The sequence below is a fragment of the Homo sapiens genome, chromosome 17 (assembly GCF_000001405.40).
Source record: "Homo sapiens chromosome 17, GRCh38.p14 Primary Assembly".
Lineage (NCBI taxonomy): Eukaryota > Metazoa > Chordata > Mammalia > Primates > Hominidae > Homo > Homo sapiens.
In genome coordinates this window covers 75,915,741-75,929,685 of record NC_000017.11, presented here as the reverse complement: position 1 = coordinate 75,929,685, position 13,945 = coordinate 75,915,741, and the positions used below count along the sequence as shown (strand labels likewise).

At 55.6% G+C, this 13,945-nt stretch overlaps 1 protein-coding gene across 1 annotated transcript in view, besides 2 other annotated features; it reads left to right on the top strand.

The window, feature by feature from the left end:
* FBF1 (Fas binding factor 1) overlaps positions 1–13,945 on the top strand; it is a 31,469-nt gene that overhangs the window by 11,357 nt on the left and 6,167 nt on the right. Inside the window, exons 8-23 of the mRNA NM_001319193.2 lie at positions 1,493–1,610; positions 2,154–2,231; positions 2,809–2,928; positions 3,260–3,398; positions 3,523–3,656; positions 4,240–4,339; positions 6,045–6,500; positions 7,640–7,741; positions 8,126–8,214; positions 8,384–8,442; positions 9,257–9,412; positions 9,579–9,679; positions 9,812–10,018; positions 11,417–11,524; positions 11,616–11,755; positions 11,836–11,954. Coding sequence (NP_001306122.1) covers positions 1,493–1,610; positions 2,154–2,231; positions 2,809–2,928; positions 3,260–3,398; positions 3,523–3,656; positions 4,240–4,339; positions 6,045–6,500; positions 7,640–7,741; positions 8,126–8,214; positions 8,384–8,442; positions 9,257–9,412; positions 9,579–9,679; positions 9,812–10,018; positions 11,417–11,524; positions 11,616–11,755; positions 11,836–11,954 — 2,226 coding nt within the window. The remainder of the gene's footprint in view (positions 1–1,492; positions 1,611–2,153; positions 2,232–2,808; positions 2,929–3,259; positions 3,399–3,522; positions 3,657–4,239; positions 4,340–6,044; positions 6,501–7,639; positions 7,742–8,125; positions 8,215–8,383; positions 8,443–9,256; positions 9,413–9,578; positions 9,680–9,811; positions 10,019–11,416; positions 11,525–11,615; positions 11,756–11,835; positions 11,955–13,945) is intronic.
* Positions 2,784–3,983: an enhancer, noted in NCBI's record as "CDK7 strongly-dependent group 2 enhancer chr17:73921784-73922983 (GRCh37/hg19 assembly coordinates)". NCBI's record gives its function as "activates an origin of replication core promoter dependent on BRD2, BRD4, P300/CBP, MED14 and CDK7 cofactors, with strong dependence on CDK7, by STARR-seq in HCT116 cells {active_cell/tissue: HCT116}" and the evidence as "EXISTENCE:reporter gene assay evidence [ECO:0000049][PMID:35650434]".
* Positions 7,380–8,579: an enhancer, noted in NCBI's record as "CDK7 strongly-dependent group 2 enhancer chr17:73917188-73918387 (GRCh37/hg19 assembly coordinates)". NCBI's record gives its function as "activates an origin of replication core promoter dependent on BRD2, BRD4, P300/CBP, MED14 and CDK7 cofactors, with strong dependence on CDK7, by STARR-seq in HCT116 cells {active_cell/tissue: HCT116}" and the evidence as "EXISTENCE:reporter gene assay evidence [ECO:0000049][PMID:35650434]".

Here is a 13,945-nt window from a genome sequence, read left to right as displayed (position 1 = left end):
TTCCTCTAATGCTTGTTCTTAATCTTTCTCCATATTTCTCTCCACATCCCCTGCCAAGCCCCCTTCAATACTGCTGTCTTCTCATCAGATCAAGCCCAGCGCCAATCTTTGCAATGGATTTTTAAGGCACAGATTCTGAATAATTTGTAAGGACATAATCTCTAGCTTGGCCTAAGACACCTTGTTCTCCCTCTCCTTCCAGCCAGCAGCACCTTCCTGTCTGACCCTTGGGGTTTTGTGTCCCTTTTAGTTAACCCATTTTGCCACAGTCCCTAGGACAAAGCCGCGTTTTTGGTTACAGCCCTGTGGGGCTCTTGTTTTTGTTGTGTATTTTTGTTTTTTGGGTTTTTTTTTAGAGACACCATCGCATTCTATCACCCAGGCTGGAGTGCAGTGGTGTGATCTCATTGCAACCTTAAACTCCTGGCCTTAAGCGATTCTCTTACCTTGGCCTCCCAAAATACTGTAATTACAGGCATGAGGCACCACACCCGGTCCAGATTCAGCTTCTTTAATCTCATCTTGAAATCTTTCTCCTCAAAGGCCAGGCACCTGTAATCCCAGAACTTTGGGAGGCCGAGGCAGTAGGCTCGCTTGAGCCTAGGAGTTGGAGGCTGCAATGAGCTATGATCACACCACTGCACTACAGCCTGGGTGGTGACAGAGTGAGACTCTGTCTTCAAAAAAAAAAAAAAAGTCTGGCATGGTGGCTTACTCCTGTAATGCCAGCACTTTGGGAGGCCATGGCAGGTGGATCACTTGAGCTCAGAAGTTGGAGGCTGCAATGAGCTATGATCGCACCACTTCACTCCAGCCTGGGTGACAGAGTGAGACTCTGTCTTTATTTTATTTTATTTTTAATTTATTTTTATTTTTTTGAGACGGAGTCTTGCTCTGTTGCCTAGGCTGGAGTGCAGTGGCATGATCTCGGCTCACTGCAACCTCCACCTCCCAGGTTCAAGCGATTCTCCTACCTCAGCCTCCCAAGTAGCTGGGATTACAGGCGTGCACCACCACACCCAACTAATTTTTGTATTTTTTGTAGAGACAGGGTTTCATCATGTTGGCCAGGATGGTCTCGATTTCTTGACCTGGTGATCCACCTGCCTCGGCCCAAAGTGCTGGGATTCTAGGCATGAGCCACCGCGCCCGGCCAATATCCTGTCTAAAAAAAGAAAAAAAAGAAAGCTTTTTTCCCGAGACCAGCCACCTAGGATCCCTGGGCATAACCCACAAGTCCTCTGACTCAATTTTTGGTGCTGACTTTGAGTCTCTCATCCCAGAACCATGAGCTGGACTCCATTCCACCTCCCCCTGCTTACCTTTAGTTCCATTTTCTTTCTTCACTCACTGTTTTTCTCAACAGTTTTCTCATTTTCCTTTGTTTTCTCACAATTCTACACCTGGGGTGCCAACAGCCCATCTCTCTCAGGTGGAAGTCCTCAGCCCCTTATCAGACATAGTCCTCTGCCCTCCCTCCCTGGTTTTCTAGGACCTGGACGGCATGGATGCTGATATCTTAGGTCTGAAGAAATCTAATTCAGCCCCTAGCAAAAAAGCTGCAAAGGACCCTGGGAAAGGAGAGCTGCCCAACCACCCCAAGCCTGCAGGTGGGTCAGTAGCCAGTGAGAAAGGTGCATGGGAGACGGCTCCTCGCATCTGCTAGGGAGACTTTGAGGACGTGGAAGATGCTAGTAGGAAGCGTTCATGTCCTTGGGTTTTCTCTGCACAGGATGGAGAGGCCAAGGAGCATTTGTGCGTGTGTGTGTTTGAGTGTGTGTGGTGGGGTAAGGGGACAGCTTGAGTTTCCTCCCTTCCTCGAGCTGTTCCAGGCCCTCTGGGTCCAACATGGGCAGCTCCTGGAGAAGCTGTGTGAGTTAAAATGGAGAACTCTATGGCAGCCTGTGCCTCTCCTGAACCCATGTCTCTGGAGTGACTCATGATGAGGAAGCAGAGGTAGCTCCTACCTCGTTTCCCTGCCAGAAGCCCATGGCAGAACTGGAGACTCCTCCCTTGGCTGTGCCCATGGCCATGAGCCCCCAGCTTCCCAGGAAGAAGTGCACCCCATCCCAGGGGCCCCAGTCCATGATATGGGAGGAGGACTTTGGCCAGGAGAGACTCAGGCCCATGACCTTGTCTTCTGCTTCCTGCAGGGGGTGCCATTCCCACCAAGAAGTCACTTCCGTCTCCCAGCAGCTCTGGGCATCAGAACAGGAGGTTTTCCTCTGAAGGTACCATAGGCTCCTGTCATGCCTCTGGGACACTCTGGTTTGGGAGTGGAGCAGCCTAGGCATGCTTGCTGGCCCGAGGCCCAGCTGCTGCCTATGTCACATGGGTGCCACTGGTTTACTTCCTCGTGAATTCATGTCGGGACCAGCTATATTGTATTGGCTGAGATATTAGGGAACTTATTTGCAAAGACCTTAAAGCCAGGCATCAAACTGAAGATCTTCCCAAGTATAGGAAGGAGCCCCTTTCCCGTCATGAATGTGTGGATATTTTACTTCTCTTCTGATGCTTGAGGGACATTTCCAGAAGGCCATGCAGCCTGCAGAGTCAGAGGCCCCACCGGCAAGCCTGAGGCAGGCCCCGTAGGTCCAGGGCCGCCCTCCAACTCCCTCTCTCCTTGCCCGGCCTGTCTTTTTGTGGAGTCCCCGTTGCCCCAGGCCCCACCCTCCAGATGCCAGGGGGCTTGTTTATGTACTGGAGCAGCTAGAAGCCTTGACTCGAGCGCTGCTCCCCAGTTCAGGCTTGCTTTTCCTCAACTAAGTGCTGCAGTCTGACCTGTGCTTTCCCTTCTGCTGTGAGACTTGGAAGACCCATTGAGAGGACTTCTCTCCTATGATGAAGGAGGAATCACCAAGCAGCCGCCTGTGACACAGAGTAAAACAGCTTCTGACAAGAGCCCCAGCACAGTGAGAGATCAAGGTAGGGTGGAGTGGGCTCATTTCCCATCCTGGAGGAAGAGTTTATTGGCAACAAGCTAACCAGCCTTTCTGGTGCAGAACCAGAGGCCTCTCCCAGGTGGGGACCAGAGGTCTAAGGTCCAGTACAAAGAGATCATCAGCCTTTAGGAATAGGAAGGTAGGACGTGTGAGTCTGGGAGTAGGCTGGAGGAATTGGGTCCCGTGGACAGACCAGGCAGGTCTAAAGCCTGTCGTCCTACCCAAAGGTGCAGAGAAACCACCCCCAACCCCATTCAGATATCACAGTTGAGGGCAAGAAGGCTGCAGGCATTGGGCCTTGTTTTGTCTTTCAGGTCCCTCTATTCCTCTAACTCCTGGGGACACCCCCATCCGAAAAAAAGAAGAATTGTTGTTTGATGATGGGGATGACATCATGGCCACCTTGGGGTTTGGAGACAGCCCCAAAGCAGAGAAGAGGCAGATAGGAGACCAGTAAGGATCCCTGAGTAGGCCAGGCTGCTGCCTCAGGTTCAGGGAAAAGCTGGTGGACGGGTACTGTGGGATTCCCGAGAGCCCCTCATACCTACACGTTCCTGCCGTGTGTCCCGTCCTGCAGGGAAGGGCCTCGCCCTGCTCGCTCCACGCTGGATGAGCTGCTGGGTCGAGGCATGGCCACCAAACTCCTGGCCCGCCCGGGCACCGGGGAGCACAGGGAGTTCAAGCTAGACAAGAAGTACCAGAGGCCACAGGGTAAGGAGGCTTGCGGGGGCCGCAACAGGACGGGAGGGAGGCCTCTAGATCAGGCTTTCATCACAACCTATAATGAGAAATCAGCCTCACATCCTGATACACACATGTGATTATACACGTCTATAGCTGAGACAAAATAATACTTACCGTGAAATAATACTTACCGTGACCACTGTTCGTGCTCAGTTGTCTATGATTGAGATGCTGTTTGATTTGGAAACACACTGGCTGTGACACATTAAGCTGGTTTCTCAGCCCTCTCATGGGTAGCAGCTCGCATTTGAAAAGCACTGCTCTGGACATGTTTCTCAAAGCATCAGCCCACAAGCTGTCTGCTGAGAATCATTCTTGTGACACATGCCGCTCGCTGGACCTGACCTCGAGGGATCCTGGGGCAGGGTCTGGCTACTGCAAGGCCACTGCATCTTCCTGGCCAGTGCCTGAGGTGCTCCCTTCACAGCAGCTTCCCTCTGCTTGTCTTACACAACAAGCTACCAAATTCAGCTTTTGTTAGAATTTTGCAGCCGCAAATGAGCTTGGTTCCCCTACTCCAGATCACGGTCACAGGCTCCTTAATTCACAGACAGTGAAGATATGTGGGGTGACGAGGACTTCACCTTTGGAGCCTATCAGCCCACTGTGGTCTCCTCTGAGGGCCGGCAGTCCCGCCGGCAGTCTGTCAGGTAAGTGGGGCCTGCAGGAGGCTTGGCCTCTTGAGACAGGTCGGCCACTGGGAAGACAGGCCCCTGCAGCTGTCCCCTGTCCCACCCGAGAGTCTCATGTGGGAGGCCACAGGGTACAAGGCCCTCAGCTCTGCAGGTGCTGAAGGAAGCGGGAGATGGCCTGGTCCCGCCAGCCCAGACAGAGTGGAGGAGATGGCCCCAGTGGGAACCCCCATCCCAGACGCTGCTCAGGTTCGCCAGTGCCCCACCCAGCCTCAGAAGGAAAGGGGCAGGTGGGCCTGCCTCCACCTAAAGCCCCTGAAATCATAAAAGGCTGTGATGTCGCTCGGTCTCCCCAAGGAACATACTTCCTGATGGGTAGCAAGACCACTGGCATCTGCGGTGGCTTCTTAGACCCCGCTTCCCAGGAACTCTGCTGTCGAACCTGCCGTGACAATTCTGACAGCGTGATCCTCTCAGTTTACAAAAAAAAAAATTAAATCAGTGATAGGATTTTCTGAGTTTGGAGTTCTTTTGCCAGTATATATTTTAAACTTTGTATTTTGAAGTAATTTCAAACTTCAAAAGTCGGCTGGGTATGGTGGCTCATGCCTGTAATCTCAGCAGTTTGGGAGACCAAGGCAGGTGGATCACCTGAGGTCAGGAGTTCAAGACCAGCCTGGCCAACATGGTGAAACCCCGTCTCTGCTGAAAATACAAAAATTAGCTGGGCGTGGTGGTGGGCGCCTGTGATTCCAGCTACTCGGGAGGCTGAGGCAGGAGAATAGCTTGAATCCTAGAGGCGGAAGTTGTGGTGAGCTGAGATTGCACCACTCACTGCACTCCAGCCTGGGCAATAGAGCGAGACTCCGTCTCAAAAAAAAACTTCAGAAGTTGTAAGAACAGCACCAGGAGCCCCTCTCATCCTTTCCCAGGTTCAGCAGTTGTTCCCATTTGCCAGGTTGGCTTCTTCATCCTCTTTCTATCTGAATAGCTCTAAGCACATCGGCATTACTTCCCATACCCAGTACGTTCTTAACCCTGGGAACCTGCTGCCACTGGTCAGTGACAGATGAAGGCCACGGCCGAACAAATGAAGTAACTGTTGTTGGAAAACCTGGAAACCACTTGATCCAACTTATTATTATTTTTTTTAGACAGAGTCTCACTCTGTCGCCCAGGCTGGAGTGCAGTGGCATGATCTCGGCTTACCACAACCTCTGCCTCCCGGGTTCAAGCAATTCTCATGCCTCAGCCTCCCAAGTAGCTGGGATTACAGGCGCCCACCACCACACCTGACTAATTTTTTTGTGTTTTTAGTAGAGATGGGGTTTCACATGTTGGCCAGGCTGGTCTTGAACTCCTGGCCTTAAGCGATCTGCCCACCCTGGCCTCCCAAAGATCTGGGATTACAGACATGAGCCACCGTGCTCGGCCTGATTTTTCTTTAGACCTGTGTGCCCATGGCTGTCATTTGATCCTGTTCCTGTTCTCTGTGGGTAGAACTGTCCCTGGTTCATGTGATGGAAGTCAAGGTCTCTGTACTTCGTGGTGTTCTACAGACAGCACGTGGCCTGCCACCTGAGCCGGTCCAGGAGCCACTGCTCACTGGGCCTCAGCTGACTGTGCAGGGTCCCTGGGCATCGTGACGCCCAGCTGCAGGCTGCTAGGGGGCCACTGGGACTGGCTGTTTCCCCTGCCTGACACCCTCCTTTCTGTCTTGAAGTAGGTTCTTCGCAGACAGTGGCGCAGACCCCAAGGGAGAACCAGGCTCCAAACAGAGCCCTCCAATGGCTTCCAGCCCCATCCAGCCCAGGAAGGGAGGAGCTGACTGGTTGGGCCTCAAGGACGAGGACTTGGACCTGTTCCCTGCCTCACCCACCAGAGAGGCCCATCGGGAAAGTTCAGTGCCTGTCACGCCCTCAGTGCCTCCTCCTGCGAGCCAGCACTCCACGCCAGCTGGGCTGCCCCCCTCCAGGGCAAAGCCACCAACTGAAGGTGCAGGGTCCCCTGCCAAAGCCAGCCAGGCTTCCAAGCTGCGAGCCTCCAAGGAGGAGAAAGAGGACTGGCTGAGCCATGCCCTGTCTCGGAAGAAGTCCCAAGGCCTGGCCAGAGAGCAGCATGCTGGGACCTCTGAGGGCCTGCATTTGGCGGGGACAGCGGGCCATCCCCCTTCTGGCAGGTACTGACTTAGGCTGCTGTGGCTAGTAGGGGGAGGACTGGCTGGGGACTTGAGGAGCCCCTTTGCCCCTTCACCTGTTGCAGCCTCAGTCAGCAGTTGGGGAACAAGGCAGGGCGCCGTGGCCACAGAGGCCGCTTCTTGGCTTTGCTACTCTGCCTTTTAGGCACTGCAGAGAGAGCCTCTGGCTCCCAGGCTTGCCCCAGGGACATACCCAAGAAGGAGGGCTGTTGACATTCATGCCCTGACCGCCATGGGGACAGGTGCTAACTTGATCGAGGAGAAGACAGAGGGTCCCTGAGGTGGCAGACACACCGCTGCCCTGTCACAGCGCCCTCAGGCTGGAAGCCCCGGCATCCAAACAGCCGGTGCTTCTGCCGACTCCACTGAAGCGAGTATGGCGTGTGTGAGCTGAGATGTCCCTGTGCTCTTTGAGAGTGTTAGAGGAGACATAGTGGCCGAGAGGCGCCTCTTGGAGAAGCCCTTATCCGTGGGGCAGGATAGCGAGTGACCTCTGAAGGCAGGAAGGCACAAGGGGCCAGCAGGCTGGGGGAGTCCAGAGGAAGTGGTGAGATGTGCTGTGGCCAGAGCCCAGGGGAGTGAACTGGGCAATTTGTGACAGCCCAGGGACATCACCCTGTCCTGGGGTTGATGACAGGAGGGCAGTTTTGACTTTGACCTGAGGCCGAGGGGAAAGCTCAGGCCAAAACAGAAAAGAGCCTGTCTCTTCACTGACCCGTGAGCCGAGAAAGAGGTGGAAATAATGGGAAAGGGAGCCAGCCAGATTTGGTAGACTGAGCAGAATCCTAATCTAGAGCTGAGCCAAGTTAAGTGGACTGGAACAGGGCTCTGAACTTGAACTTGACTCCAGTGTCTATAACATTTCCGTTGTCACTGCTTGGACAGTGTCCATTCACTGCACCACTGTGGACATTGAGGCAGGAAGGGGGTACTGGAAGGGAAGAGATGCCCAGAAATCCCAGGAGCTCAGACGTGGGAGGAGAATGCCCCAAGACGGGATGGTGGAAGCAGGAGGAAGGGGGGCCACGAGCTTCACGTGTGAAGCCCGTCCTGGGCCCTGTCTTCATCCAGCCTGACCTGGGCCTTCTGTCACCTTCACCTTGAACGCTGCCTTTCCTCAGCCAACCTCTCACCAGCACACAAGGGCTTGAGCACGCAGCTGCTGGAGGGAGTTCTGGAACAACTGCACGAGAAAGACCGTGTGTCAGGCCTGGTGTCTCGGGGTAGGCCTGGGCTGCGGGCTGAGTGGGAATGAGAGCATGGTGGGCAGCACAGGCCTCTGTCCTGAGAGAGGGACACAGAGGCTGTTCACCCTGCCCCTGCCCCGTCCCCGTGTCCCACACAGAGGCTGCCCACCCTGCTCCGTCCCTGTGCCCTACACAGAGGCTGCCCACCCTGCCCCATCCCCGTGTCCCACCTAGAGGCTGCCCACCCTGCCCCGTCCCCGTGTCCCAGCAGAGGCTGCCCACCCTGCCCCATCCCCGTGTCCCACGTAGAGGCTGCCCACCCTGCCCCGTCCCCATGTCCCACCTAGAGGCTGCCCACCCTGCCCCGTCCCCGTGTCCCACACAGAGGCTGCTCACCATGCCCCATCCCTGTGTCCTCAGGTCCCCTGTGACTCAGAACCATGCCGCCTCAGCACTCCCTACAGGTTCCCCAAAGAGGGGAACAGCCCCTGGAGACCTCTCAGCCACTGGTTTGTTTTTTGTTTGCTGCTTCATTTGGGAGTTTAACCCTGGGTGAGGAAGAGGTGCTTTGAGCTTCCTTTGGGGTCCCTGGGACATGAGTTACACCAGCCCCTCCTGGACACTCGCAGGCCCAGTGCCCTGGGCCTCCTGTTCATTTCTCTGTTGTTGATGTTTCAGAGCCTGCCACGTGTTTCCCGAGCACCCAGAAACCCACAGAGCCTTCCGTGCCCGTCCAGGTAGGGGTGTGGGCAGACAGGTCTAGCTCAGGGCCTAGGGAGCAATTCTCCATGCCCAGGGGCAATACCCACAGTTTGACCTGACGACCTGCCAGGAAAAATGTGTCAAACATACCAAATGTGACGTCAGCCAGCTCCCCGGGCACCCCCCACTAGAACTTGCCTGAATTTCTAGCCTCGCTGCTCCTGGGCAGAGCTGGGTGTTAATTTGCCTACATCAGTGGGGAGTTTAAGGAGGCAGCCAGGCCGGGGAGCTGGGATGCTGCAGTCAGAAAGCAGGGCCGCAGGGTCCTGTTCTGTCAAGAAAGCCTCCTCCACCCTTGCCATCCTCCCACCACACCTCTGCCTCTGTTTCCCATGTGTGGCAGTCACCTGTGACACCTGGGCCTGGGAGGTGTGCCCCCCCCCCCCCCAGGAGTGTGTCCCTGGGAGATGGTGGGTAGGGGACAGCTCGTGGGAACCAGATTAGTGTCAACATGTGGGCTTCAGGCCTGACAGGAAAAGCCAGCATCAGCTTTTGTCATAGCGAAGACTCTGCTGGGGTTCAGCCATTTGTCTGGGAAGCCGGAGACCATGCTGGGGAGGAAGCTGTTCCGGAGGGTGGAGGGAGACATGCTCCTGACCAGATCTGCAAGGGGAGGTACACTGGGGACTGCTTAGCCGCAGTGACTGTTACTTTCCAAGGCCTTGGCCCCATCTGCAGCCACAGATCAGATGCAGGGAGGTCCAGTGAGCAGTGGGCCAGGAGGTAGCTGATCTCAGCTGGGCCCCTGTCCCCTCCCTAACTAGAAACACCTCTCTTCCTCTCCTCCAGCCCCTGCTCCCAGAGTCCCTGGCCCGGAGCCTGCTGCCGAGCACAGAATACCAGAAGCAGCTCCTGGCAGCACAGGTGCAACTTCAGTGCAGCCCCGCTGAGCTCCAGGCCGAGCTGCTGCATAGCCAGGCCCGGCTGGCAGAGCTGGAGGCCCAGGTGAGGGGCAGCGGGGCCGTTGGTGCTGGTGGCAGGGTTGCGACAGGAGGGGACACTGAGAGTGGCTGGAAGCTTCCCCAGGAGGGAGGAAGGGCTGTTGGCACAGGGCAGCGTGGAGTACAGCCACCTCCCCTCCCTGGTTGCTGGCCCTCCTGCTGTCTCCCAGGTGCGGAAGCTGGAGCTAGAACGGGCCCAGCATGAGCTGCTGCTGGGGAGTCTGCAGCAGCAGCACCAGGCAGACCTGGAGCTCATCGAGAGTGCACACAGGTACCCTGGCGCTGGCCCCAGCTCTGCCTTGGATCTCACACTGACCCCAAAGGCCACCCAGTGTGCCTGGAGAGGCCTTTAGGCGGCAGCCCTCTGCCTTCCTTGCGCCATGGCTGGGTGTTCTGTTGGCAGAAGCCGCATCAAGGTGCTAGAAACATCGTACCAGCAACGGGAGGAGCGGCTCCGGAGAGAGAACGAAGAGCTGTCAGCTCGGTATCTGTCGCAGTGCCAGGAGGCCGAACAGGCCCGTGCTGAGCTTACGGCCCAGCACCAGCGGCGCTTGGCGGCCATAGCGCAGGAGAAGGACCAGGAAATGGAGCGGCTCCGGGAGCTGCAGCGGTGAGGCCCAGGGACAGGCAGCTGGGGAGCAGGCTTGCAAGGAGTAGCCGGAAGAGAGCCATCCCCACGAGACCCTTCGCTGTGGCTCAGCAGCCTTTGGACAGGGGTTGGGTCCTTCCCTCCCAGTCCAGTGAGTGAGGACTGAGGGCTGAGCACACTGACCCATCACACCCATGGGTGGGGGTGCCACCTGCTCTTACAGAGGCAGGAGGGGGTACCCACAGGCTGTTCAGGCATGGCATGGCAGCAGCAAGCCGCCTAGGGTCTAACTAAGCACAGGGTCATCCACTCGCCTGCTCATGCAGTAGAGGCTAGAAACAAGATCCACCTGGGAAAGGCTTGCGCTGTTGTGCCTGCCATGTTTATAGGGTTGCCTTTCTAGAAGAGAAGGAAACTAAGAAAAGTTACCTAAGGGAGTCAGAGGTCGATGAAGGCAGAGGCAGCCTTTTAAGACTGCTCAGGGCCGGGTGCAGTGGCTCACACCTGTAATCCCAGCACTTTGGGAGGCCGAGGTGGGAGGATCACTTGAGGCCAGGAGTTTGAGACCAGTCTGGGCAACACAGTGAGACCTCATCTCTAAAAACAATTTTTAAATAAGCTGGCATGACAGCTACTCCTGTAGTTCCAGCTACTTGGGAAACTGAGGCAGGAGGATACCTTCAGCCCAAGAGATCAGGGCTGCAATGAGCTATGATGCCACTGCACTCCAGCCTGGACCACAGAACAAAACCCTGTCTCTAAAAACATTTAAAAAACAAAACACTTGGGAGGCCAAGGCAGGAGGATTGCTTGAGGCTAGGAGTTCAAGACCAGCCTGGGCAACATAGTGAGACCTCATCTCTAGGAAAAAAAAAAAAAAAAAGAAAGACTGCTTGGGGCCGGGCGTGGTGGCTCACACCTGTAATCCCAGTGCTTTGGGAGGCCAAGGTGGGTAGATTGCCTGAGCTCAGAAGTTCGAGACCAGCCTGGGCAACACGGTGGAAACCCCATCTCTACTAAAATATAAAAAATTAGGCGTGGTGAGCGCCTATAGTCCCAGCCACTCGGGAGGCTGAGGCAGGAGAATTGCTTGAACCCAGGAGGCAGAGGTTGCAGTGAGCCGAGATCATGCCACTGAACTCCAGCCTGGGCGACAGAGTGAGAGACTCTGGGTGACAGAGCAAAACTCCATCTCCAAAAAAAGAAAAGCTGAATAATGGGAGGAATGCCCATCTTAGTGCGTGTAGCATTGAGGCACCATGACAGATAAGACAGAGGAGCTGGGGAAACTGAGGCAGTGCCCGGCGGAGGAGAGGCCTGGGAGCAAGGGCTGCACGGAAACACACCCTTCCACAAGGAGTTACCGCATCAGGGTGATCCAGCTCAGAGTGACCGCCTTCCCCTCCCGCCTCCCCTCAGGGCGTCCATCCTAGACATGCGCAGAGACCACGAGGAGCAGCTGCAGCGGCTAAAGCTGCTGAAGGACCGAGAGGTCGATGCGGCCACCAGTGCCACCTCCCACACGCGGTATGTGCGCTGCCCCAACCATGCCCGCCTGACGTTGGGGGCCGGAAGGTCCCCGAGACCGTCAGGAGGGGGTGACCCAGTCTTCTTCCAGGTCCCTGAATAGCATCATCCACCAGATGGAGAAGTTCTCCAGCAGCCTGCACGAGTTGTCCTCCCGCGTGGAGGCCTCGCACCTCACCACCTCCCAGGAGCGGGAGCTGGGGATCCGGCAGCGTGACGAGCAGCTGCGGGGTACGCCCTCCCCTCTCAGCCACCCCGGCTCCTGGTGGGAAGGGGGAGCAGCTGCTGAGCACCCTGTGGGTTGCCCCCAGCACTGCAGGAGCGGCTGGGCCAGCAGCAGCGGGACATGGAGGAGGAGCGGAGCCGGCAACAGGAGGTCATCGGGAAGATGGAGGCACGGCTGAATGAGCAGAGCCGGCTGCTGGAGCAGGTGAGGCCCGTCCTCCTGGCCCTCCTGCCCCTCCTGCCACGGGGCCTCTTCTCCAGGGCACCCGCAAGTGTAGCGGCACTCCCGTGACCTCACTTCCTCAGGAGGTCAAGGCCCCACCTGCCGCTTCCTGCCTCTACATCTCCCTGCCCTGGCCAGGCTCTCAGCACTGCCCACCTGAGCATGCAGGGGCCGCCTGGCCAGGCCCCCCACCACGCCCTGTCCGCTCCTCAGCACCGCAAGCCCCTCGGCCACCTTGGCTGCCCTCCGCAGTCTAGCCCCCGCAACCATCAGCTGCACTTCCCACTTCCTGACACTCGAATCTGTCACATTAGCTGAGGCCTGACATTGGGACAGATGCTCTTGCCCATTAAATGTCATCCTAGCCTCTTCAGCTCTCACAGAGACATTTGAATTCCCTAGATACCTTTCATATATAAGCACATGCTTTATTTAAATAATGATGACCTTAGCCAGGCACAGTGGCCTGTGCCTATAATCCCAGCTACTTGGGGGGCTGAGGCAGCAGGATCACTTAAGGCCCAGAATTTGAGACCAGCCTAGCGAGACCATAAATAAATTTTTTTATGCCAGGCAAGTTGGCTCATGCCTGTAATTCCAGCACTTCAGGAGTCCAAGGCTGGAGGATCACTTGAGGTCAGGAGTTCGAGACCAGCCTGGCCAACATGGTGAAACTAAAAATAAAGAAATAAGAAACTAGCCAGGCGTGGTGGCGCACGCCTGTAATCCCAGCTACTAGAGAGGCTGAGGTGGGAGAATCGCTTGAATCTAGGACACAGAGGCTGCAGTGAGTGGAGATCATAACATGGCACACCAGTCTGGTTAACAGAGCGAGACTCTGTCTCAAAAAAATAAATAATAAAAACATTTAAATTTTGTTTTAATTAACTGGGTGTGGTGGTGCACACCTGCAGTCCCTGCCTTTGCTCACATCCTTTTCCTTACCTGTGGAAATCTTTCTAGGCTGAATTCAATGGTAATGAATCTTTCGATGCTACCACCTCCACAAAGCCTTCCTTGTCCTCCCACCTATCTTTTTGTCCTCAGCTAGTAGTTATCATCTTCTAAGGTTTTACAAAGCACTGTTATTTTTTAGAGACAGGGTCTTGCTCTGTTGCCCAGGCTGGAGTGCAGTGGTGTGATCATAGCTCACTGCAGCCTGACCTCCTTGGCTTAAGCCATCCTCCTGCCTCAGCTTCCTGAGTAGCTGGGACTACAGGCGCAAACCACCACACCCAGCTAATTGTGTATTTTTTACTGAGATGTGGGTCTTGCCATGTTGCCCAGGCTGGTCTTGAACTCCTGGGCTCAAGCAATCTGCCCACTTAGGCCTCCCAACATTTTGAGAGTACAGGTGGGAGCCACCATGCCTGGCCAAAAAAAAAAATTTTTTTTAGAGATGGGGTCTCACTGTCACTCAGGCTGGAGTGCAGTGGCAAGATCTCAGCCCACTGCAGCTTGAACCTCCTGGGCTCAAGCAATCTTCCCACCTCAGCTGCCAAGTAGCTGGGATCACAGGTGCATGCCACTATACCCAGCTAATTTTTTGTATTTTTTGTAGAAACGGGGGTTTGCCATGTTGCCCAGGCTGATCTCAAACTCCTGAGCTCAGACAAGCTGCCCACTTTGGCCTCCCAAAGTGCAGGGATTACAGGCGTGAGCCACCATGCCCAGCCAAAAACTTTTTTTTTTTTTTTTTTTTTTTTGAGTCAGAGTCTCGCTCTGTCACCCAGGCTGTAGTGTAGTGGCGCAATCTCAGCTCACTGCAAACTTCGCCTCCTGGGTTCAAGGGATTCTCCTGCCTCAGCCTCCTGAGCTACTGGGATTACAGGCAACTGCCACCACGCCCAGCTAATTTTTGTATTTTTAGTAGAGATGGGTTTCACCACGTTGGCCAGGCTGGTCTTGAACTCCTGACCTCAGGTGATCCACCCGTCTCAGCCTCCCAAAGTGCTGGGATTATAGGGCTGAGC